Raw genomic sequence first — 20,740 nt, 5'->3', positions numbered from 1 at the left:
TCAGTAGGCGGTTAGAAGAAACAAGATGAAAATGTTTTCCCCATTCAGGGACTCCCTGATTTAAGCTGAGAGCCTCTCCTTCCAGTATTTTGTAAAAGTCAACAGTTATGTGAAAAAAAAAAAAAAAACAGATGAATTTCTGATTGATTGTATTTTTTTGGCAAAACAAAAAAATCACAAACATTAAAACATTGTGTATATTAAGTACATCTAGAAAAGTGTATGCAAAATATTTCATATTTAAATAGAAGGGACCAGGGCTCAATGCTGCTTGGCCCGGGGCTTCTCTCTACCTCTCCACGTGGCGGGAGCAGGTGAGGGTCGGCATCAGCCCGCAGGGCCGGCGGAGGATTGTTTCCCTGCACCCCACTCCTTAAAAACGCGAAAGTCAACTTCTGTAGTCCGTTCACGGTGTCCTGGGATCCACGCTGGACGGTGGCGGCCGACTTTCAGCTTGACCTGAATTTTATTCCTAATCAGCTGTGTGATCTCGGTTGGTCCCAAACGTCTCTGAGCCTCCCTTTCATCTGTGCAGCTGGGCCTCCAGACCCCAACCCCCAGGCGGTGCTTAATCACGTAGACCTTATTCTGCGTGCACTTTACCACAGTTCACCAACCACCGAGCGCTGAGAGCTGTTGAAGCACCTGGAGCAACACAAGACGGATGCGGAGACTGGAAACAGCTGGGGAAGGGGACAAGCTCCAGCCGCGCTGTGGGCCGGAGGCTAGCATCTGCGGGCAAATTCAGGTTCAACGGAAGGCAACATTTTTACCCCTCAGAATTGCTCTGGACGAGGAGGCAGCACCGGATGGGCGAGGGAGGGAGCCTCGCTTTGGCTGCGAGCCCCAACTCTTGCCAACCATCAATTGAGTATAAATTGAGATTTCTGTACAGGATGCCCCTCCCTCTCCACTTTCCTCCACCTGCGTCGGGGTGCGAGAGACCTGGTACATTTTAGAAATGTGCCTCCGCTGAGACACGTAGGCGGGCAATCTCGCAGGGACTTGCTGGGCGTGGTTACTTCCGCGGATCTTGGCGTTCCCACATCTTTGAAGTGCGGTGGGAATCGGCGGCGACTACGTTCACATTGTCCCAATACTTCGTTCCTGAGGGAGGAATAAACTAAAAGTTAATCATAACCTCCCTTCGACCGCGGCAGGACTCGAACCTGCAATCTTCTGATCCGAAGTCAGACGCCTTATCCATTAGGCCACGCGGCCCGTCGGTTGTTACCGTCTCTTGAGCAACTTATAAAAACGTCACCTCCGCCCACCAGCTAGCTCGGGACCAATCCACCTGCTCCTTGAGAAGGGGAGGTTGGCCTTTGGTTCGCGCGTTCCGCAGGGAGAGCCCACCCAGAAGTCCCCCTTCTCCCCCCGCGGGCGGACCGCTCCATTGGCGGCCCTCCTATTGGTCGCGCTGGGAGTCTCCCGCTTGCCTCTCGGGTAGCCGCGGGACCTAGCTGGGTGCAGACGGGAAGTTGCGGCTGCCAGCGAAGCGGACCGGCCGGGTGGAGGCCACACGCTACCCCGAGGCTGCGTAGGCCGCGCGAAGGGGGACGCCGTGCCGTGGGCCTGGGGTCGGGGGAGCAGCAGACCGGGAAGCACCGTGAGGACCGAGGTTTCCGGCGGGGTCGGCGGCGGGGAGGCCGGGTCGCTGAGCGACGGCGCGGCCCCTCCCTCTCCAGTCAGGGAGCGAGGCCCGGAGCAGGGCGGCGGCTAGTCCCAGGGCGCACCGCGGCGCCTCTGCCGGGCGCAGGCGGGCGGCGGGGCGCACGGGGGTGGCCGCCGACTCCTCCTGCAGGACGCTCTCGGCCGGGTGGGCCGTGGTCCGGGTGTGGGTGTGGGTCCCGGGGGACGGCGGCCCACCCTGCGGGTTCGAATCCGGGCGCTGGCACCTCTCGACGCTAGGCCCGCGCCGGTCGCGGTAATGGCAGCCACCATTTGCCGAGCGCTTGCCAAGAGCAGGGCCGCACGACATAGGCGCCCTGTGTCCCCCAGACAGCAGCCCGGTGTGACAGGCAGAATCCGTAATCCCATTTTACAGAATAGGATATCAGGGCCTAAGGAGCTTTGCCCAAGGTCACACAGCTCGAGAGAGCCAGAAGCGGGGTTCAAAACCGCGTCGCCCTACTCCAGATACTGCTCTCTTACTCGCTGCCCTCGGCTTCCCCACGTGGGTTCACTGACGAAGTTGCGTGGACCCCGGTTCCCCCAGGAGGGGTATTGACGTTTCCCAAGTTTTGAGGCTTAACGGAAAATGCAACTGAAGCGCCTGGCACAGTGTTGGGGACGCAGTAAATGCTCAAGGAATGATGATTATGGATACACCTATTACATATATGGTAAAATAACGCTTTATATCATCTGTCTCCTTTAGGATTTGGGGTGGAAGGCAGGCATGGTCAAACCCATTTCACTGACAGGAGAGCAGAGACAGGACGTGTCTCTCTCCACGTCTTCCAGCCAGTAAAAGAAGCCAAGCTGGAGCCCAAAGCCAGGTGTTCTGACTCCCAGCGTGGGGGTCCCTGCACCAACCATGAGCCGCCTGCTCTGGAGGAAGGTGGCCGGCGCCACCGTCGGGCCAGGGCCGGTTCCAGCTCCGGGGCGCTGGGTCTCCAGCTCCGTCCCCGCGTCCGACCCCAGCGACGGGCAGCGGCGGCGGCAGCAGCAGCAGCAGCAGCAGCAGCAGCAGCAACAGCAGCCTCAGCAGCCGCAAGTGCTATCCTCGGAGGGCGGGCAGCTGCGGCACAACCCATTGGACATCCAGATGCTCTCGAGAGGGCTGCACGAGCAAATCTTCGGGCAAGGAGGGGAGATGCCTGGCGAGGCCGCGGTGCGCCGCAGCGTCGAGCACCTGCAGAAGCACGGGCTCTGGGGGCAGCCAGCCGTGCCCTTGCCCGACGTGGAGCTGCGCCTGCCGCCCCTCTACGGGGACAACCTGGACCAGCACTTCCGCCTCCTGGCCCAGAAGCAGAGCCTGCCCTACCTGGAGGCGGCCAACTTGCTGTTGCAGGCCCAGCTGCCCCCGAAGCCCCCGGCTTGGGCCTGGGCGGAGGGCTGGACCCGGTACGGCCCCGAGGGGGAGGCCGTACCCGTGGCCATCCCCGAGGAGCGGGCCCTGGTGTTCGACGTGGAGGTCTGCTTGGCAGAGGGAACTTGCCCCACATTGGCGGTGGCCATATCCCCCTCGGCCTGGTAAGTAGGGGCAGGGTTGGGGACATAAGCAGGCATGGGGGCCCAGCTTAATAGTTTGTTTCAGTGAACATTTTCTGAGGTCCTGTTACGGGCTGGGTGCTCACGTAGGGAGCGCTGATGTGTTGAATTAGGACTAGACCCCTGTTTATGTGGGACTCACTTTCTGGTGGGAAGATCACAGGCAGTAAGCAAATACCCAAGTAAATGTCAGGCAGTAAAGGCCACGCAGAGAATCACAGTAGAGCGCTGTACATGAGACCTTCGGGAGGCCACTTAAGATCACGGTGATTTGGTGCCTTTACCCCCTCTCCTAATAGCGTCATGAGAAGTTAGTCTGAAAAGTCATTTGAACAGTGTTTCTATTTGGGGAGCTATTAATTATTTTGGGCGGTAGAAAGCTCCCTTTTGTGGGACTGTCCCAGGCAGTATAGGACATTTAGCATCCCCAGCCTTTCCCATAAACGCCAGACCAACACCCCCCCGCCCCCCTGCCCCCGCCGGCAACGTTTCCAGACGCCCCCTTGAGGTGGCATCTGGTTGACCACCCCTAGTTGAGAAACATTGCTTCCTTCCCCCAGCCTTCCAAGCAGGCATTTTGGTCCCAAACAAGTATATCCAATCTCTCTTTTCTTTTTAAATAACTTTCTAAGTGCTACCCAAGTTTCTTTTTCAAACAATGATGGCAGTACTGTTTCTCCCCTTTTTTTATTCTTCATTCCAGGATTAAAATACTATTTACAACCTTAATGCTTTCAGGCATGGCCAGCAAAAAAGTTGGCAGTTTCTTTATTCCTATTGGAAGCTACATCTTTGTAAAGAAAGCTGCGAAATGTTAAATATGCAGTTGAAAATGGTGAAAACATGGCTAAATAGATAAGGTAGGCATTAATGGCTGAAAAGAGCAAAACTAGATGATTCTGCATTGATTGAGTTCCAGTTACAATGAGAATCACACTACTTAGAATATGTAACTTGATGGTCAAAGTAAAGGGGAATATCGGCCATCATTTGAAAAGATAAAGTAGGCTTTGGTGGCTGAAAGAAAATTAGGAAACCAGTGACAAGAAAGATTTGTTTTTTGATCTGTCGGTCATTTTAGGCCAAATTACCTCAAGTCCCCTTTTCTTTTCTCTTTCTCCTTCTTTCTCTCTTTTTACCTCTCCTTTCCCTCCCTGTCCTTCCCTGCTCTGCCCTCATTCTCATTCCATTCTTGCCAGTGGTACTCGGGGCATTGCTTAGTTGACCTGATGGCAGAAGTCACTGTTAAGGCCTGGGCTCATGCTGGGACCTTCCTCCTGGGAGTCTGACTGGTGGGTGGGGGTGGGTGCCACATGGTGCCCTAATAGCGGTCCACTTTGAACCTGGGCATGCCCCTGCCCCTTAGCTGAGTAACATTAGGTACCTGACCAGCCCACAATTTACAATGGGAGGAGAAGCGGTAGTCAGCTATGAGCCTCCCACAGGGCAGCTTCTTCCCAAAGGGTGTTGGTAAGGGCTTCGGCCATCAGGCTAGAGGGACGTCTCTCTGGCCATCAGCATTTTTCTAAGATTCACAGTAAAACTAGTATTAATGGCATGGATCCCTACTCATCTTAAATTTGGCTTGTTTCTTTTTAATCACTAGTTTATAATATGGCTTCATGCACAGCTGCAGAGCTGCATCTTGACACCAGTGTGGCTTTTTACTGTAACCAAAGTTCCTGTTACCACCATGGCCTCAAAGATTTGGCATTCTTTAGCCTTTTTGTCTGCGTTGTTTTAAGGGCTTTGACATGCTGAATTAAAATGTGGGGGGGTGGGGATTTCTTTCAGTCCCTTGGCTTATTTTCACCATTTGGAGTATGAGTTCGATTTTGTCAGGTTTAAAACTAGGAACCTCTTTTTGCTTTCTCTTTGAAAGAAGTTAGTTTTATGTGTGTTGAATCTGTTGAGGCAGATACTCCCTTTTTCCCTTCCATAAAGGTTGCAAGGAGCTCCTTCGCAGCTGTGTTGTCCACACGTGGCCTCGTCACTCACTTTGATGCTGAGTGGGCCTTGATTGTTTAGAATAATCTGTGGCTTGCAACAGGCATTTCCTCAGTGGCCATTCCCCTACACCTAGCCTTGTGGATCTTGAGCAAACTGCAGCCTTTTCCTGAATCAGTGTCGGGCCCCCAACAGGCAGCACTCATCCCCTATCCCTCCCACCCCAACCCTGTCACATACACATACATTTTCTCATTCTGGCACTTTCCCTGGTTCTCACTGAGGGTGGTTGCTTCTCCAAGGTGTGTGATTTGCTCTTTGTCCCCCAGAATCTTTTCAGCCGTGAGATGATTCATCCTGTACATGTGTGCAGCAGCATTTGTCATTTTTTTTTTTTTTGCCAATTCAATTAAATCTCCACCTTGGGTTCTGTTATTGTCTATCTCCTTTACTAGTACTTTGAACAGTAGCTGGTTTGTGCCTGTAGACGTGAGGGGTTGATAATGTTCATAAAACCTCAGAGCTAGATGCAGACTCAGTGAACGCTGGGCCTAGCAAACACCTTGATAGCCCAGGCTGTAATAGAATACCTGCACGTAGGTCTAATAGCCCAGTAGTTCCATTTTTATGTGCAGAAGTTTAAAGAAGCTTTTGTAGCTCTTGCCCGCCAGCACACACACCCACCCTGCCACACCTGACCTGTAGCTGTTTGAGTTAGGAGCACCCTTTGGTCTCACTTGTGTCCCCAGCTGCCAATGCACCATCTGGCATGTGGCGGTAGGTGTGCAGTGGTTGTTGTGGAGTGGAAGTTTAATGTCTCCATGGTGAACCTGCCTGCCTCTCACCTCCCTCAGGTATTCCTGGTGCAGCCAGCGGCTGGTGGAAGAGCGTTACTCTTGGACCAGCCAGCTGTCGCCGGCTGACCTCATCCCCCTGGAGGTCCCTACTGGTGCCAGCAGCCCCACCCAGAGAGACTGGCAGGAGCAGTTAGTGGTGGGGCACAATGTTTCCTTTGACCGAGCTCATATCAGGGAGCAGTACCTGATCCAGGTAAGGTTCCTGGGGCCAACTGCAGGTTCTGGCATGGGATGGGCCAGGAGCCCTAATCTCAGTGGTTAGGGGAGGTACTCCTTTCCTGGCACGTGTCTCTGTTGCCTTTGCTGAAGCCGCAAGGCGCATCTGTTGACCAGCTGTGCCTCTGGTCTCTGTGCCTAGCTGTTGTATGTCCCCGGGAAAGCCTGGTATAGGACCTAAGTTGTCACAAAGTAATAATGGCCTTCGTCTCTGTGGCATTTTAGAGCTTAGCATGGGTCTTGAAGGTTTTGAGCCACAGCCTGGGCTCACTTCCTGCCTTAACCACCGATGACTACTGTGAGCGCCTTAACATCTCTAAGTCTTAGTTTCCTTTTTTATAAAAAGGCAGACATAACAGAAATCTCATAGGATTAATAGGAGGGTTGGAACAATGCCTGCATGTCAAACACTCAGCACTCTGCCTGGTGTATAGTAGTGGCAATTCTTAATTTTATGAAAAGTGTTTTTTCACTGGATCTTCACAACAGCCCTAGAAGATAGGCCAGGCAGGGGAGAGCAACCTTACCCTATAGCTGAGGGTGCTGAGGCTCAGACAGCCTTGTTGACATGCTCAGGGCCACAGAGCTTTTGAGTGGCAGGGTTGGGGCCAGACCAGATAGCCCTGAAGGCTTTATTTTGGCCACTCTGTATCTACGTTGCTCAGAGCTATTGTTGGAAGCTGAGAAGGACTTGCACATTGGGATTGAGCCAGGCCTGCATCTTAAAGGGTGGCTAGGATTTGGGAAGGCAGGCCCCTTACAGGTGATGGGGCAAGCATGAACAAGCATGAGGATTCTGTATTTGGTGTTGAAGGCTGTGTGCTGGGAGGGGAGGCTGTTTGAGGAGCTGAGGTGGGGCTGGAGGTCCACACCACCAAGCAGTGGTGGGCTGGCCCCACAGTTGCAGCCTCCCTCCTTCCCTTCCCTTTTCTCCTCCTCCTCCTCAGGGTTCCCGCATGCGTTTCCTGGACACCATGAGCATGCACATGGCCATCTCAGGGCTAAGCAGCTTCCAGCGCAGTCTGTGGATAGCAGCCAAGCAGGGCAAACACAAGGTCCAGCCCCCCACAAAGCAAGGCCAGAAGTCCCAGAGGAAAGCCAGAAGAGGCCCAGCGGTGAGAGCACACTGCCGGTGGGCAGGAGCATAGTGCTTGGGACCCCCTCTCACCAGCCCGTCTGGCCCGAGGCCAGGCTGATCTGCCATGTCCCTTGCTCTGGTTCCCCAGATCTCATCCTGGGACTGGCTGGACATCAGCAGTGTCAACAGTCTGGCAGAGGTGCACAGACTTTATGTAGGGGGGCCTCCCTTAGAGAAGGAGCCTCGAGAACTGTTTGTGAAGGGCACCATGAAGGACATTCGTGAGAACTTCCAGGTATGGTGCTGGAGGGGGCTCTGGGGACATGGGCTGTGGCACACCCCTAGCTGCACTTGGGGAGATGCAGCTGCCAGGCCTGACCCTGAGAGCTGGTGGTGGTAATGGGATGGCTGCCCACCTTGCGCCTTCCTGTCACCTTGTGCCAGGACCTGATGCAGTACTGTGCCCAGGACGTGTGGGCCACCCATGAGGTTTTCCAGCAGCAGCTACCGCTCTTCTTGGAGAGGTGAGGGGGAGCCCATGTGGGAATCTCTGGGGGTCAGTGTGTTCCTGGTACCCGGGCCCACTGTAATCAGGTGGCGCTGGTTCTATCTCAGGTTGGGGACCTTAGCTTTTCTAGGCTGAAAGAATGGAGCCCTTCTGTTCAGTGGTGTCCATCTGGGCCCTGGACTCTGGATTTGACAGAGGCCCTGAAGGGGAGGGCCATGGAGTTGTGCTTGTGTGTCATGTGCACGGTCCTGGTTTACTGTGCACCTTCTCTAACTAGATCCTTAGCCAAGGGCTTCACATACAGCGTGGTTATGTTTATTAATGAGTCTGTCTTATGAAGTGACCCTTGTATGCTGAAAATTCAGGTATATTTGTACCAAAGATATGGAAAGAAAAAAGAAGGGAGGAAAATTTGGGTGTAACTTTTGACTCCCTCAGAGCTTAACTACTAATAGCTTGCTGTTGGCTAGAAGCTTTACTGATAACATAATACATATTTTTTATGTTATACGTATTATATACTGTATTCTTAAAGTAAGCTAGATAAAAGAAAATGTATTAAGAAAATCATGAGGAGAAAATATGTTTACTATTCATTAGGTGGAAGTGGATCATCATAAAGATATCTATCCTTCACGTTGAGTAGGCTGAGGGCGGGGGTTGGGCTTGCTGTCTCGGGTGGCTAAGGCTGAAGAAAATAAATGTGTAAGTGAACTTGCACGATCCAGACATGTGTTGTTTAAATGTCAGCTGTATTTTACCACCCAAGTTGTGAGGTTCAGGCATGATGTTTTTCATGTATGGGATTATTAGCACAGTGCCTGGCACAGAGTCATTACTCCACGTGTGGCAGCCATTTTCACTTTTGCCATCTATATTTCCCACATTACCCCTGAGGATGGGATGATATTGTTCCCATTTTATAGATGAAAGAACTGAGGCTCCGAGAGATGGGGTTGCTTACCCAGGGATGAGTAACAGTAGAGCTGGGATTTAATGCCGTCTGACTTTTGAGCTGTGCCATGTCAGTGGCTGGGTTGAGGCTTGCTAAACCAGCTCAGGGATTGGGCCAGTCTTGCCTCCTGTGGTCATTTATGGCAGCTCCTGGTGTTTGCCTCCAAGGTGTCCCCACCCAGTGACTCTGGCCGGCATGCTGGAGATGGGTGTCTCCTACCTGCCTGTCAACCAGAACTGGGAGCGTTACCTGGCAGAGGCACAGGGCACTTATGAGGAGCTCCAGCGGGAGATGAAGAAGTCGTTGATGGATCTGGCCAATGATGCCTGCCAGCTGCTCTCAGGAGAGAGGTAGCCAGGCCTTGGGTGGGCAGGATCTAGGCAGGGGACTGGCAGGTGGGCGGCCTAGCCTTCGGCTTAGCCTTAGCCCTGCCCTAGTGGACTGGCTCTGTAGGTACAAAGAAGACCCCTGGCTCTGGGACCTGGAGTGGGACCTGCAAGAATTTAAGCAGAAGAAAGCTAAGAAGGTGAAGAAGGAACCAGCCACAGCCAGCAAGTTGCCCATCGAGGGGGCTGGGGCCCCTGGTGATCCCATGGATCAGGAAGGTGGGGAGCATGGGTGGGAGGTAGGGTAGGGTAGGGGTTGTCTCTGGGAAGGTCCTGTGATTGAGGGGGTCCTTCGAAAGGATTGCTCCAGCCTTCTGGAGATGAGCGGGTGGGAGCAGATCTTATTGAGAGTTCCTTCTCCTGCTCCTGATTGTCTTCCCCCACCCTCACAGACCTCGGCCCCTGCAGTGAGGAGGAGGAGTTTCAACAAGATGTCATGGCCCGCGCCTGCTTGCAGAAGCTGAAGGGGACCACAGAGCTCCTGCCCAAGCGGCCCCAGCACCTTCCTGGACACCCTGGGTGAGCCCTGCCCACCCCCAGCAGTGTATCTAGAGTCTACCCTTGCTCCATTCTCAGGACAGCCCTGGTCTGGGTTCTGGCACAGAGGCATCATGCACATGTATACTTATTGACCTGCTGCCATTCAGTCACACTGTCTTCCAGTCCTATTCTCATTTGCTCACTCTGGACCGGCTCACTGGACTCATTCAGCACAGTGTTGTGAGCACCTGCTGTGCAATGGCCCGTGGCAGCCACCGGGTGTACACACTGGAGCATAGCTCCTCCTTTCCAGTAGTTCTTTTTCCTAGGAGGAGCCAGGCACGTAGACCAGCCAGTGCAGCTAGTGTCCATAGGTAGAGTTCTGACTCTGCCTCGGGAAATAAATCAAGAAGGCTTCCTTGAGAAGGTGCCCCTTCCTTTGAGCCTCATAGGGTGGCAGAGATGAGAAAAAGGGCAGCCAGGGTGAGCAGCAGGGTGCCAGCTTTGCACCTGCAAGACCCTGAGAGCAAGTGTCCTGAGTGCCTTGCTAGTCTCACCCTGGGCTCAACTCTGGTGAACAGCCTGCAAGAGAGCACCCAGAAGGACTGGTGTTTCTCTAGAGGGGTGGGGAGGGCAGATCTGCTCCCTCCTCTGGTCAGTTACCCTGGATGAAATGGAGCTTGGGAAGGAGCCCTGCCCTGGGTCAGGGTATGCTTTTGTGTCCTGGCTTCTGACTAGTCCAGTGGGACTGACTTAGTGTCTTTGCTTTTGAAATATTCTTCTAGAGGATTCCATGGGGGTCCTGGCTAAAGCATCCCAGAGGAGGGGATGGCGGCTGTAGGCTGGGGTCACCAGAAAGCCCCAGGGCTTTGGAGGGTGGGTGGGGACATTGTGAGAGAGAGAACCTTCCCCCCAACAACTGCCCTTACCATCGTGACACTGCTGTCTTCCTGCTGGGACGTAGATGGTACCGGAAGCTCTGCCCCCGGCTAGACGACCCTGCATGGACCCCGGGCCCCAGCCTCCTCAGCCTGCAGATGCGGGTCACACCTAAACTCATGGCACTTACCTGGGATGGCTTCCCTCTGCACTACTCAGAGCGTCATGGCTGGGGCTACTTGGTGCCTGGGCGGCGGGACAACCTGGCCAAGCTGCCGACAGGTACCACCCTGGAGTCAGCTGGGGTGGTCTGCCCCTACAGGTAAGGCTTAGGCCCAGGGGAGGAAGGGGCTGGAGCCTAGGGACCCCTTCCCCTGGCTGGTCAGCTCAGGCTAGTGGAAAGAGTTTGGGTTCAAGAGTCTGGGTTCAGAAGAAGGGAAAACAGGAAAAAAATTAACACACACACACACACCCTCTCTCTCTCTCTTTCTCTCTCTCTCACTCACTCACTCACTCTCTCTCTCACTCACTCACTCTCTCACTCACTCTCTCACTCACTCACTCTCTCACTCACTCTCTCACTCACTCACTCTCTCACTCTCTCACTCACTCACTCACTCACTCACTCTCTCACTCACTCTCTCACTCACTCACTCACTCTCTCTCACTCTCTCACTCACTCACTCTCTCACTCACTCACTCACTCACTCACTCTCTCACTCACTCACTCACTCTCTGGGTTCAGGTTTTTTCTTCCATGGCTACCCTTACCCTCTGGATCTCAGAGCTCTGGGAGGGAGTATGTTGAGATGTTCACAGTGGGGAGGACTAAAGGCCCTACTCTTGGGCCCAGAAGCATAGCTGCCTTCACAGGAACATGCGGAGGGCTGTTACAAGTAGCAGGGAGATGGGCTTTTAAAAAAGTGTGTGTATATAATTTGAGTGATAATTATGGGCCAAGCAGTGCTTCCCTTATTTGTTCCCCAAGGAGTCCCATGAGCTAGAATGGTTATCCCCATGTTGTAGTTGACAAAGGCTTGGTTGACTTAAGATCACAGACCCTGAGCTTTAGGCAGGCAGGTGTTGGGGAGAAACTTACAGTGGCCCAGAATTAAGAGTCCTGGCTCTTCAGGGCAGCCTGAGTCTCTTATGGGGCCATGGGACCAAAGGGGATAACACTGGCCTTGCTCCTTTGAGCCCGAGGGTAGGTGAGCGGACAGGAGCCAGCCTGCAGCTGGGCCTTGGGTCCTGTCCTCCCGCTGCTGTGCTCTCAGAACTTCTCTTGAGACGGCAGCTCTGTAGTGTAAGAGGAACTTGGATTTGAGTGAGACAAGGCCTTGAACCCCAGCCTGCTGCCAGGGTGCTGTCATTTTCAGTTTGTCAATCAATCCCTGTCTAAAACCCGGGAAAGTGCTATCTGGTTCTGCCTCAGAGCTGATTCTGAGGACTAAACAAAGGGAATTGTGGAAGGCACTAGCAAGCTGCCTGGCCCAGAGTGGGCATCTGGTAATCAGCGGCTGCTGCTGCTACTGTTCTCTGCCCAGAGCCATCGAGTCCCTGTACAGGAAGCACTGTCTCGAACAGGGGAAGCAGCAGCTGATGCCCCAGGAGGCCGGCCTGGCGGAGGAGTTCCTGCTCACTGACAATAGTGCCATATGGCAAACGGTGAGGGCAGGCTCTGAACCTGAGCTTTGGGGAGGGGAGGTCTCTGTATTCCACCCAGGGAAGGGGCAGCCTTTGGGTGGGAGGCTGGCACTGGTGGCTCACCCCAGACTGGCCTGCAGTGTCTGAGTACCATGCAGGGAGGGGCTGGTGGATTGGGGCCTACCCAGTCCCCTGCTTCACTACTTTGGTCCTTGGACTGCTCCAGGTAGAAGAACTGGATTACTTAGAAGTGGAGGCTGAGGCCAAGATGGAGAACTTGCGAGCTGCAGTGCCAGGTCAACCCCTAGCTCTGGTGAGCAGTGCGCCGGCTTGGGTTCTCTAGGTGGGTGCTGGGTGGAAAGGGCTTCCTCTTGCCCACCTAGTTCTTCCCAGCCAGAGTTCCCTAGGTCTTAAGGGGGTTGGAGATGCCACCCTGCCCCTGGGAGGCCCCACACGTGTTGGAGCAAGGAGAAAGCCTGGGTGAGACCTCATGGCCATCTTGTCATTTCCCAGCTGATGACGACAGTTTCAGGCCCTTTTCCCACCCCCTACCCCATGGCCCTTGCTGAATGCAGGTGCTGGAGCAGGGCCTGATATAGGTGTGTGGCCCTCACAGACTGCCCGTGGTGGCCCCAAGGACACCCAGCCCAGCTATCACCATGGCAATGGACCTTACAACGACGTGGACATCCCTGGCTGCTGGTTTTTCAAGCTGCCTCACAAGGTGTGTCCTGGGTCATGGCCTGTCCTGTGGTGTTTCCTCATTCTGCTCAAGGCCCACAGCAGGCCTTCAGAGTGACACACCTGAGACTTTCCTTTTTGTGGGAATGACTAGTAGTGGGACAGAGTGTGATTTCAGGCACATACTGTCATCTCTCAGCTTTTGTTTTTCTAATGAAAGTCGGGTGGCAAGGGGCATGGTGGTGGAATTAAATGACATGGGGCACGTCGTATGTTTGGTACGACATCTGGTACGTGATAGGTTTTTCCGATTTGTTATTATGCAGGGAGCCAGGTTTGCTTGTGTCTGTGTGTCTTAGGGGGCATGTGTGTGCACGTGTGTGTGTGCGTGCGCGCGTGCGCGCGTGCGTGATACAATCAGGGATTTGCCTCAGACTGCTGAGGTTCTGGGCTCAGTGTTGGGAGGAGTGCAGGTACTCACGTTGGTTCCCCACCCAGGGGTCTGCCACCTGCCTCCAGCCCCTGCTTCCTTTGCTCTGTCCAGGATGGTAATAGCTGTAATGTGGGAAGCCCCTTTGCCAAGGACTTCCTGCCCAAGATGGAGGATGGCACCCTGCAGGCTGGCCCAGGAGGTGCCAGTGGGCCCCGTGCTCTGGAAATCAACAAAATGATTTCTTTCTGGAGGAACGCCCATAAACGTATCAGGTGGGCCACCATGGGAGGAGTCCTGGGATGCCTTTCCCCTCTCTTCCCACCCAGGGACCCCTGACTAACCCTGGATTCCCACAGAGGGCCAGCCTGACTATGGTCTAGAGGCCTGGCTACTTTTGGTCCTGGTGCCATGGACCTTGGGCAGGTCTCCCCTCTAGCTTCAGTTTCCCTGTTAATGTAAAAAGAATGGTGCTGTAGGACCATGAGAGCCCTTCGTAGCTCCAACAGAACTTCTTGGTGTAACTGCTGGAGCCGTGGGCTATGGCTGAGGACCATGGAGAGCTGGTGGCCTGTAAGCCCTGTTGGGGGCTGGGAGCTGGGTCTTCTAGTCTGGAATGGCAAATGTATTCATCTTGAAGGCCATTTCCAAGGTGGTTGTGGCCATCAGCACACTGGCGAGCAGAGTGGGTGTTGGGATGGTGAAGTCTGCCTGTGTGTAGGAAGAGGCATTGGTGGAAGGAGCGCCTCATGGATGCCCCCCGGAGAGGAGCGGAAGCTCGCTCGGAGGCCTGGCCGGTTCCCAGATGGTTTATGCTCTTGATTGGTGTATCATAGGGCCCCAGTTCTTGGCTGAGCCAGGGCTCACCTTGAGTCCAGTTAGTGAGGCTGGGTAATGGAGTATAGCAGTCCTGGAGGTGGGCAGGTGAGGGCCATGGTGGGATGTGGGATAGATTCTGCTTCCCATGGCTGTGCTGAGCCTCACGTTGTCTGTCCCCACAGCTCCCAGATGGTGGTGTGGCTGCCCAGGTCAGCTCTGCCCCGTGCTGTGATCAGGTATGGTCTGCTGAGTGGTTGTAGGGATAGGAGAACTGAGGTGAGGTGGTAGGTCCTAAGGCCAAAGCACCCTGCTAAGACCCATTTCCTTCCCCTGCACCCCACCAGGCACCCCGACTATGATGAGGAAGGCCTCTATGGGGCCATCCTGCCCCAAGTGGTGACTGCCGGCACCATCACTCGCCGGGCTGTGGAGCCCACATGGCTCACCGCCAGCAATGCCCGGGTATGTGACCTCTGTACCTCTGGCCCCTGCTCTTCCTCTCCCAGGTCTGTAGAAACTGGGCTCTGAGGGCCTTTAGGTATTTAGTGAGGATCATGAAAAGGACCCTGTGATCTGGGTCAGGCAGGACTCTAGTCAAATCTGGCTTCATGATTTCTGTCCACTCCTTCAGTAAATATGTTCTGGGCACCTGCTCCTGGCCAGACCGTGACAGGCGTAATAGCTACAGCTCTCATGGAATTTAGATAGGACCGTGTAGGTGAGGGGTCTGGCATAGCGCTAGGCATAGAGTAGATTCTTTACCTGTCACACCAATTGCTGATAGGTGGCCATCTCTGGAACTGTGGAATTTCAGCAGTGCTGTCTGGCATTCTCTAAAGCCATCCCCTCAGGAAAGGCTCTAGCTCTTTCTCAGTCAACTCTGGCTCCAGGAATGGGGTAGGAAGAGTCTCATTTGGGTATCTCACTCTTCCCACAGCCTGACCGAGTAGGCAGTGAGTTGAAAGCCATGGTGCAGGCCCCACCTGGCTACACCCTTGTGGGTGCTGATGTGGACTCCCAAGAGCTGTGGATTGCAGCTGTGCTTGGAGACGCCCACTTTGCCGGCATGCATGGTGAGCAGGAGCCGGGGTTGGGGCAGCCCAGCCCCTCAGCATATTGACAGTTCTGATGAACATTGGGCAGAATGTTCCTGAGCTGCTTTTCTCACTCCTGCTTGTCTTCCAGGCTGCACAGCCTTTGGGTGGATGACACTGCAGGGCAGGAAGAGCAGGGGCACTGATCTACACAGTAAGACAGCCACTACTGTGGGCATCAGCCGTGAGCATGCCAAAATCTTCAACTACGGCCGCATCTATGGTGCTGGGCAGCCCTTTGCTGAGCGCTTACTAATGCAGTTTAACCACCGGCTCACACAGCAGGAGGCAGCTGAGAAGGCCCAGCAGATGTACGCTGCCACCAAGGGCCTCCGCTGGTGAGGGTCCCTCTCCCATCCACTTTAACACCCAGGACCCGAGGCCTGCTTTACTGTCCTTTAGTACTACCATCTGTTCTATCTCCTGCCCATTACTTGAACTCTCACCTAGCCCCTCTCCTTCCACACCTGTGTAACCTGGTTCCAGGATGATTTGTCCTATTGTGACATTTGGTTGCTTTATAGTCAGCCTTAAACAGTTTTTCCTCATGGGAGTAAAGCTATACTTTTGGTATACTGTTACCAAGTGGTAGCATCTTGACAATTCTGATTATGCTGCATAATCAATAATACAGGGGTTGCAAACTCAGATGCCTACAGGGAATGAGAGCAAATGGAGTGGGTGGAAGACAGGAGTTGACAGGAGGGCGCTGTGGCAAACTGGAGCATGTAGGCTGATGTTGATACTGGAGAAAGCATTACCAGGCCTCCAGGTTACTTAGCCTAGCTCTCCAATTTGTTTCCTCTGATCGTACTGCATACTGTGTGCTCAGGGCCTTAGCAGACTCTCTGCAGGGTTCCAAAAACATTGAGGGAAGAGAGGTACAACTTCCTGAGGTACAGTACACTGTCCACATTTAATTAGCTGGCTCATTGTGGAAACTTCACTTTCTCGTCAACAACTAAAAGTTAAGTATGTGATAAATGATATAGTGGTTGATGACTATAAATGCAGGGAAGGGGAGCTGAGTATCGTCCAGTGGATAAAGTGAGGTCGGGTAAGGCTCATACCGTGAGCAGCGTGTGCTGGTGGAGGCGAGAAAGGTGGTGGGGCTTTAGTTGTGGACACCTTTGAAAGTGTCACAGGAGTTTGGACTGTGGGTGCAGGTGGTGGGGAAGCCATTTATGCGAGTGACGTGTCTCTGGAGCCTTCAGGCGACAAGCCTTGTGAGGTCTGCAGGTTAGATGGAAGCTGGGAGTTGTCTAGGGTTGTGGCAGTTGAGAGGGGTAAGCCAGGCCTGGCTGTTGTGTTTTCTGCTTCAACAAATGCCCCCTCCCCTTCAGGGAGTAGCCTATTCTTACCCCTATCCCCCCAAATCTAGAGTGATGGCCCTTGCTGCCTCCTGAATAAAAGGCCCGTGTTGGTCATTGGGCAATTCAGTGTCTAAAGAAACAGGACAGTAGGAATAGTGGTGCCTCCTGTGCTGGAGTCTTTGTCCTTTATTGGGCTACCATGGGGTGGCCCAGGCTTTGGGGCTACAAAAGCCTGGGCTGCATCTCTTTCTAGCTCCATGATCCTAGGCAAGGCACTTAGCCTCTCTGAGCCGTTTCTTCCTCTGAATAAAAGCCTTTAGGGGACTGGCATGATGTCAGTGTTTTTAAAAGTTGAAGTGATATGTGAACATTCCTTGCCAAGGCACTAGCGTGGCACAGGAAGCACTCCCGTGGAATGATGGTGATAACACTGCCCCCAGGTATCGGCTGTCGGATGAGGGCGAGTGGCTGGTGAGGGAGTTGAACCTCCCAGTGGACAGGACTGAGGGTGGCTGGATTTCCCTGCAGGATCTGCGCAAGGTCCAGAGAGAAACTGCAAGGAAGTAAGAACCTTCTTTGTGTTAAGGATGGAGGGAGGGGTCTGGGCTTGCCCCAGAAGAGCTTGGATGCTTTGTTTTTTAGCTTTGAGATGCTGAAAGACAAAGTCTGCCCTCTGTTTCTGGTCCCTTAGGTCACAGTGGAAGAAGTGGGAGGTGGTTGCTGAACGGGCATGGAAGGGGGGCACAGAGTCAGAAATGTTCAATAAGCTTGAGAGCATTGCTACGTCTGACATACCACGTACCCCGGTGCTGGGCTGCTGCATCAGCCGAGCCCTGGAGCCCTCGGCTGTCCAGGAAGAGGTATCTTGCTACCTTTGGAGCATGGGCAGAGGGGCCCCAGGGAGGGCAGGGCAGAGCTCCCTGTGGACCTTACCAATGTTTGTAGGTAGGGCCAGAGTGAAGCTTCTCTTGGGGCTTCTACCCTGGAGTTAATTGGTATGTAGCATAGCCCCTTTCACCTCTGCCCACCTTCCCTTCCCAGTTTATGACCAGCCGTGTGAATTGGGTGGTACAGAGCTCTGCTGTTGACTACTTACACCTCATGCTTGTGGCCATGAAGTGGCTGTTTGAAGAGTTTGCCATAGATGGGCGCTTCTGCATCAGCATCCATGACGAGGTTCGCTACCTGGTGCGGGAGGAGGACCGCTACCGCGCTGCCCTGGCCTTGCAGATCACCAACCTCTTGACCAGGTATGCGGGGCCCATGGCCTCTAGCCTGGCCATGTGCTCCTATGTGGGGCTTTGGGTGAGCGTTCCTTGGGCCAGACTGGTCAGTTTTGACTTTTCATCCCCCTAGAAGTGAATGTTTCAGCTTATTTATTTATTTCTAATTTTTAAAAAGTTGTAGAAGTCCTAAAAAGACTAGCCTCAATTCGTAAAAAAAGAGTTATTGGGTTTGAAAATGTGAAATACCAAGACTGATCATTGAGGGAAGCAGTGAGGTTAGGGGAATTGTTCCGAAGGGTGGTACTCACGCTTTTCTATTTGGAAAATCAAATGACAGAAGCCTTTTCTCATTTCATAGAAAATTGAGATGTTTGTTTTTCTTTCTCCCATAAATGTTTTCTTTCTTAAGTAAGTGCCAAAAGTTTGTTATTTGACTGCTAACAGAAAACACTGTTAATGGGGACACTCAAATGTGATTTTTAAAAATATCTTATATATTTTATATATTGAGTTGTATTTTCTTGTAGTAAAATTCCTAGTTCATATGGATGAATTAAATATTACCGTTCCATGTTGATCTGCCACTCAGAACCAGTTTGGGAACCATGATCTATCCTGATTATTGGGTAAATAACAGATGTTTACAATATTCAACATTGTTCCCATTGCCCTCTTAATCATCATCTCCGGGAGGTTATGCTTAACAAAGCTAAAAGTCCTCATTTATGCTTCAAACTCTGGCCCAATTGGAAGTGATTTCGTATATTAATTAATAAAGTGTACCAAACTGGGAAAAAAAAAAAAAGTATGTTGAGTCCATAATTGCATTTCAGTATCTCAGTGGGAGGTTAGGCTGCTGGATGGAAAACAGTGCTGGACCTTCACCTTTCTTGACTTAGCTAAGTGAACAGATGGGGTGTTGGTCCAGGGGAAGCCCTGCTCTAAGGGGTGTGGGGTCATTGCTCCAGGAGTGATGCATCTGTTCACAGGAGGGGCATGACTGTGAGAGTAGATTGGGTCTCTTTCAGGTGCATGTTTGCCTACAAGCTGGGTCTGAATGACTTGCCCCAGTCAGTCGCCTTTTTCAGTGCAGTCGATATTGACCGGTGCCTCAGGAAGGAAGTGACCATGGATTGTAAAACCCCTTCCAACCCAACTGGGATGGAAAGGAGATACGGGATTCCCCAGGGTGAGCACAACACATTTGTTCCTCATTACACATAGGATCTGAGGTGGACTAGAAAGTGGGTCTTGGAGAACAGGAAACTTGGGGCCCCAGAGAATCCACTCTTGACTCAGGCTATATTCTAGGCTAATTTCAGTTTATAAGGTGCCCTGTGTCCAGAGTGAATGTGATATGATGTTTCAGAAATGAAGGCAGCAGAGCTTCAAATATTCTACCTGTACCTGTCCCCTACTTCAACCACAGAAGAAATGTTTAAAGATAATTTATTCTATAGAGTGCATTCTTGCACTCTATAGGTGACAGAAAAACAAACTGTGCTTTAAATACCAAACAAGTAAATCAGAAAGCTTATTTTCTATTTAAAATATATCTAAGACACACTTATATAAAAAGAAAACAGACCCTCCTAACATGTAACATTACCGTTCGTGGCAATTGTTCTCAACCTTTCACTCTCCTTTTGACCTTAGCATTAAGCTCCTTTGCTCACTTCTGAGCTCTCAGTTACAGTTCTTGAGGTGGCATCCTAACCAATTTGCACTATCTTTCAGGTGAAGCGCTGGATATTTACCAGATAATTGAACTCACCAAAGGCTCCTTGGAAAAACGAAGCCAGCCTGGACCATAGCACTGCCTGGAGGCTCTGTATTTGCTCCCGTGGAGCTTCATCGGGGTGGTGCAGGCTCCCAAACTCAGGCTTTCAGCTGTGCTTTTTGCAAAAGGGCTTGCCTAAGGCCAGCCATTTTTCAGTAGCAGGACCTGCCAAGAAGATTCCTTCTAACTGAAGGTGCAGTTGAATTCAGTGGGTTCAGAACCAAGATGCCAACATCGGTGTGGACTACAGGACAAGGGGCATTGTTGCTTGTTGGGTAAAAATGAAGCAGAAGCCCCAAAGTTCACATTAACTCAGGCATTTCATTTATTTTTTCCTTTTCTTCTTGGCTGGTTCTTTGTTCTGTCCCCCATGCTCTGATGCAGTGCCCTAGAAGGGGAAAGAATTAATGCTCTAACGTGATAAACCTGCTCCAAGGCAGTGGAAATAAAAAGAAGGAAAAAAAAGACTCTATCTTCTCATCAAAGCCTTTGTTAGTCATGCTTTCCCCACTTTCCCACTCACAGGAGGTAATTATGTTGTTGAAGAAGAGGAAGGAGTCCTCCAAAGTGTAGAGTAATAAGACAGTGGCACCTCCTTTTAGGACTTTTGCTATACTGAGGATACTTATGGGACAAAATGACAAGAGAAGAAGCCATTGACATCAAAATGCTACATGACTCTCCTGAGTGCAGCTGCCAAGTGGGTAAAGAGAGTGGATGGGGCCAGGTACATTAGAGCCTGGAGTGTGATCATCTGAAGAATGCATGTTCAAAATTCTGAAATCCAGGGCACTTGTATGTAAACTTCCAGTTTTGAAATGGGAGTGGGCTACTGATTTGCTACTTATTAGACAAACCTAAGATGAAAATTTTAGGTGCTAGAAGTAAGGAAACATTGGGTTCTGTTTCAAAGGTGGTGCAGGGATGGGGATGCGGTACTGTCACTTGCTAAGAGTAAAGGGAGAGGAACAAACCACAAGGGAAAAGGACAAGACATTGGCATGAATTGAAGGAAGAAGCCTTAACCCAAACTAATGAGTGGCCTTTGAATGAGGGCATGACATGAGAGGTAAACTAGTTTCTGAGCCAGACTGCTATAGCTGGTCATCATCCAGTAGTTTAAAAGATTAACAGGAAGAGGACCCACAGCAGGACATTGTTTTGTTACCACCTGCTTCCTGGAAGTGTTTATCAAACAAGTCGGGGCAACTTCATAGGATTTTGTGTGGTC

The 20,740-nt window shown here is 52.2% G+C and overlaps 3 protein-coding genes, 1 long non-coding RNA gene and 2 other non-coding genes across 57 annotated transcripts in view, besides 7 other annotated features; 3 read left to right on the top strand and 3 right to left on the bottom strand.

Annotated features, from left to right (window-relative positions):
- POLG-DT (POLG divergent transcript) lies at window positions 133-1,807 on the bottom strand. The gene is made up of 2 exons (NR_186332.1): window positions 1,440-1,807; window positions 133-1,107 (listed from the first exon to the last, which is right to left on the bottom strand). It is a non-coding gene; the product is annotated as a POLG divergent transcript (long non-coding RNA).
- Window positions 262-311: an enhancer, noted in NCBI's record as "active region_10049". NCBI's record gives its function as "activates an Ori minimal core promoter by ATAC-STARR-seq in GM12878 lymphoblastoid cells {active_cell/tissue: GM12878}" and the evidence as "EXISTENCE:reporter gene assay evidence [ECO:0000049][PMID:35858748]".
- Window positions 652-721: an enhancer, noted in NCBI's record as "active region_10048". NCBI's record gives its function as "activates an Ori minimal core promoter by ATAC-STARR-seq in GM12878 lymphoblastoid cells {active_cell/tissue: GM12878}" and the evidence as "EXISTENCE:reporter gene assay evidence [ECO:0000049][PMID:35858748]".
- Window positions 732-831: an enhancer, noted in NCBI's record as "active region_10047". NCBI's record gives its function as "activates an Ori minimal core promoter by ATAC-STARR-seq in GM12878 lymphoblastoid cells {active_cell/tissue: GM12878}" and the evidence as "EXISTENCE:reporter gene assay evidence [ECO:0000049][PMID:35858748]".
- Window positions 1,149-1,221, bottom strand: TRR-TCG1-1 (tRNA-Arg (anticodon TCG) 1-1). Its single transcript has one exon. It is a non-coding gene; the product is annotated as a tRNA-Arg (tRNA).
- Window positions 1,412-2,011: a silencer, noted in NCBI's record as "silent region_6793". NCBI's record gives its function as "represses an Ori minimal core promoter by ATAC-STARR-seq in GM12878 lymphoblastoid cells {active_cell/tissue: GM12878}" and the evidence as "EXISTENCE:reporter gene assay evidence [ECO:0000049][PMID:35858748]".
- Window positions 1,412-2,202: a biological region, named in NCBI's record as "H3K27ac hESC enhancer GRCh37_chr15:89877323-89877824".
- On the top strand, window positions 1,470-19,974 carry POLG (DNA polymerase gamma, catalytic subunit). Of its 2 annotated transcripts, none has more exons than NM_001126131.2 (23): window positions 1,470-1,609; window positions 2,381-3,198; window positions 6,018-6,213; window positions 7,184-7,351; window positions 7,463-7,609; window positions 7,759-7,838; window positions 8,945-9,127; window positions 9,231-9,382; window positions 9,556-9,682; window positions 10,608-10,844; window positions 12,067-12,187; window positions 12,393-12,479; window positions 12,783-12,890; window positions 13,392-13,552; window positions 14,279-14,332; window positions 14,441-14,558; window positions 15,034-15,169; window positions 15,282-15,528; window positions 16,944-17,066; window positions 17,195-17,363; window positions 17,545-17,753; window positions 18,758-18,918; window positions 19,467-19,974. In NM_001126131.2, exons 2-23 carry the CDS (start codon window positions 2,540-2,542, stop codon window positions 19,541-19,543), a joined length of 3,720 nt encoding a protein of 1,239 aa, NP_001119603.1. In that variant the 5' UTR covers window positions 1,470-1,609; window positions 2,381-2,539; the 3' UTR covers window positions 19,544-19,974. The 2 variants fall into 2 exon arrangements, with proteins under 2 accessions (NP_001119603.1, NP_002684.1); NM_002693.3 differs by having other exon boundaries at window positions 1,470-1,621.
- Window positions 1,701-2,202: an enhancer, noted in NCBI's record as "H3K27ac hESC enhancer chr15:89877323-89877824 (GRCh37/hg19 assembly coordinates)". NCBI's record gives its function as "activates a minimal SCP1, AML or CMV promoter by ChIP-STARR-seq in naive H9 embryonic stem cells {active_cell/tissue: H9 hESC(naive)}" and the evidence as "EXISTENCE:reporter gene assay evidence [ECO:0000049][PMID:30033119]".
- Window positions 2,485-6,086, top strand: POLGARF (POLG alternative reading frame). The gene is made up of 2 exons (NM_001430120.1): window positions 2,485-3,198; window positions 6,018-6,086. The coding sequence occupies exons 1-2, from the start codon at window positions 2,485-2,487 to the stop codon at window positions 6,084-6,086; spliced, it is 783 nt and encodes a 260-aa protein (NP_001417049.1).
- Window positions 6,411-6,460: an enhancer, noted in NCBI's record as "active region_10046". NCBI's record gives its function as "activates an Ori minimal core promoter by ATAC-STARR-seq in GM12878 lymphoblastoid cells {active_cell/tissue: GM12878}" and the evidence as "EXISTENCE:reporter gene assay evidence [ECO:0000049][PMID:35858748]".
- MIR6766 (microRNA 6766) lies at window positions 9,484-9,555 on the top strand. Its single transcript, NR_106824.1, has one exon. It is a non-coding gene; the product is annotated as a microRNA 6766 (primary transcript).
- Window positions 19,035-20,740, bottom strand: part of FANCI (FA complementation group I) — a 73,281-nt gene continuing 71,575 nt past the window's right edge. For 48 of the 51 annotated variants that reach the window (XM_047432789.1, XM_047432806.1, XM_047432815.1 and 45 more), the window contains one exon: window positions 19,035-19,897. In XM_047432789.1, the coding sequence (XP_047288745.1) occupies window positions 19,835-19,897 (63 nt within the window). In that variant the 3' untranslated portion in view covers window positions 19,035-19,834. The remainder of the gene's footprint in view (window positions 19,898-20,740) is intronic. The other 3 variants (NM_001376911.1, NM_001376910.1, NM_001113378.2) reach the window with 1 other exon arrangement.

This window comes from Homo sapiens, chromosome 15 (genome assembly GCF_000001405.40).
Source record: "Homo sapiens chromosome 15, GRCh38.p14 Primary Assembly".
Lineage (NCBI taxonomy): Eukaryota > Metazoa > Chordata > Mammalia > Primates > Hominidae > Homo > Homo sapiens.
This window is presented reverse-complemented; position numbering and strand designations above follow the sequence as displayed.

What these genes read in the sequence shown, in the direction of transcription:
- POLG (NM_001126131.2), top strand. Translation starts at nt 2,540, where the DNA reads ATGAGCCGCCTGCTCTGGAGGAAGGTGGCCGGCGCCACCGTCGGGCCA. An exon ending in CAGCTGCTCTCAGGAGAGAG is followed by an intron (nt 9,128 to 9,230) that starts GTAGCCAGGCCT and finishes CTGGCTCTGTAG; the next exon opens with GTACAAAGAAGACCCCTGGC. An exon ending in CAGGTCAACCCCTAGCTCTG is followed by an intron (nt 12,480 to 12,782) that starts GTGAGCAGTGCG and finishes TGGCCCTCACAG; the next exon opens with ACTGCCCGTGGTGGCCCCAA.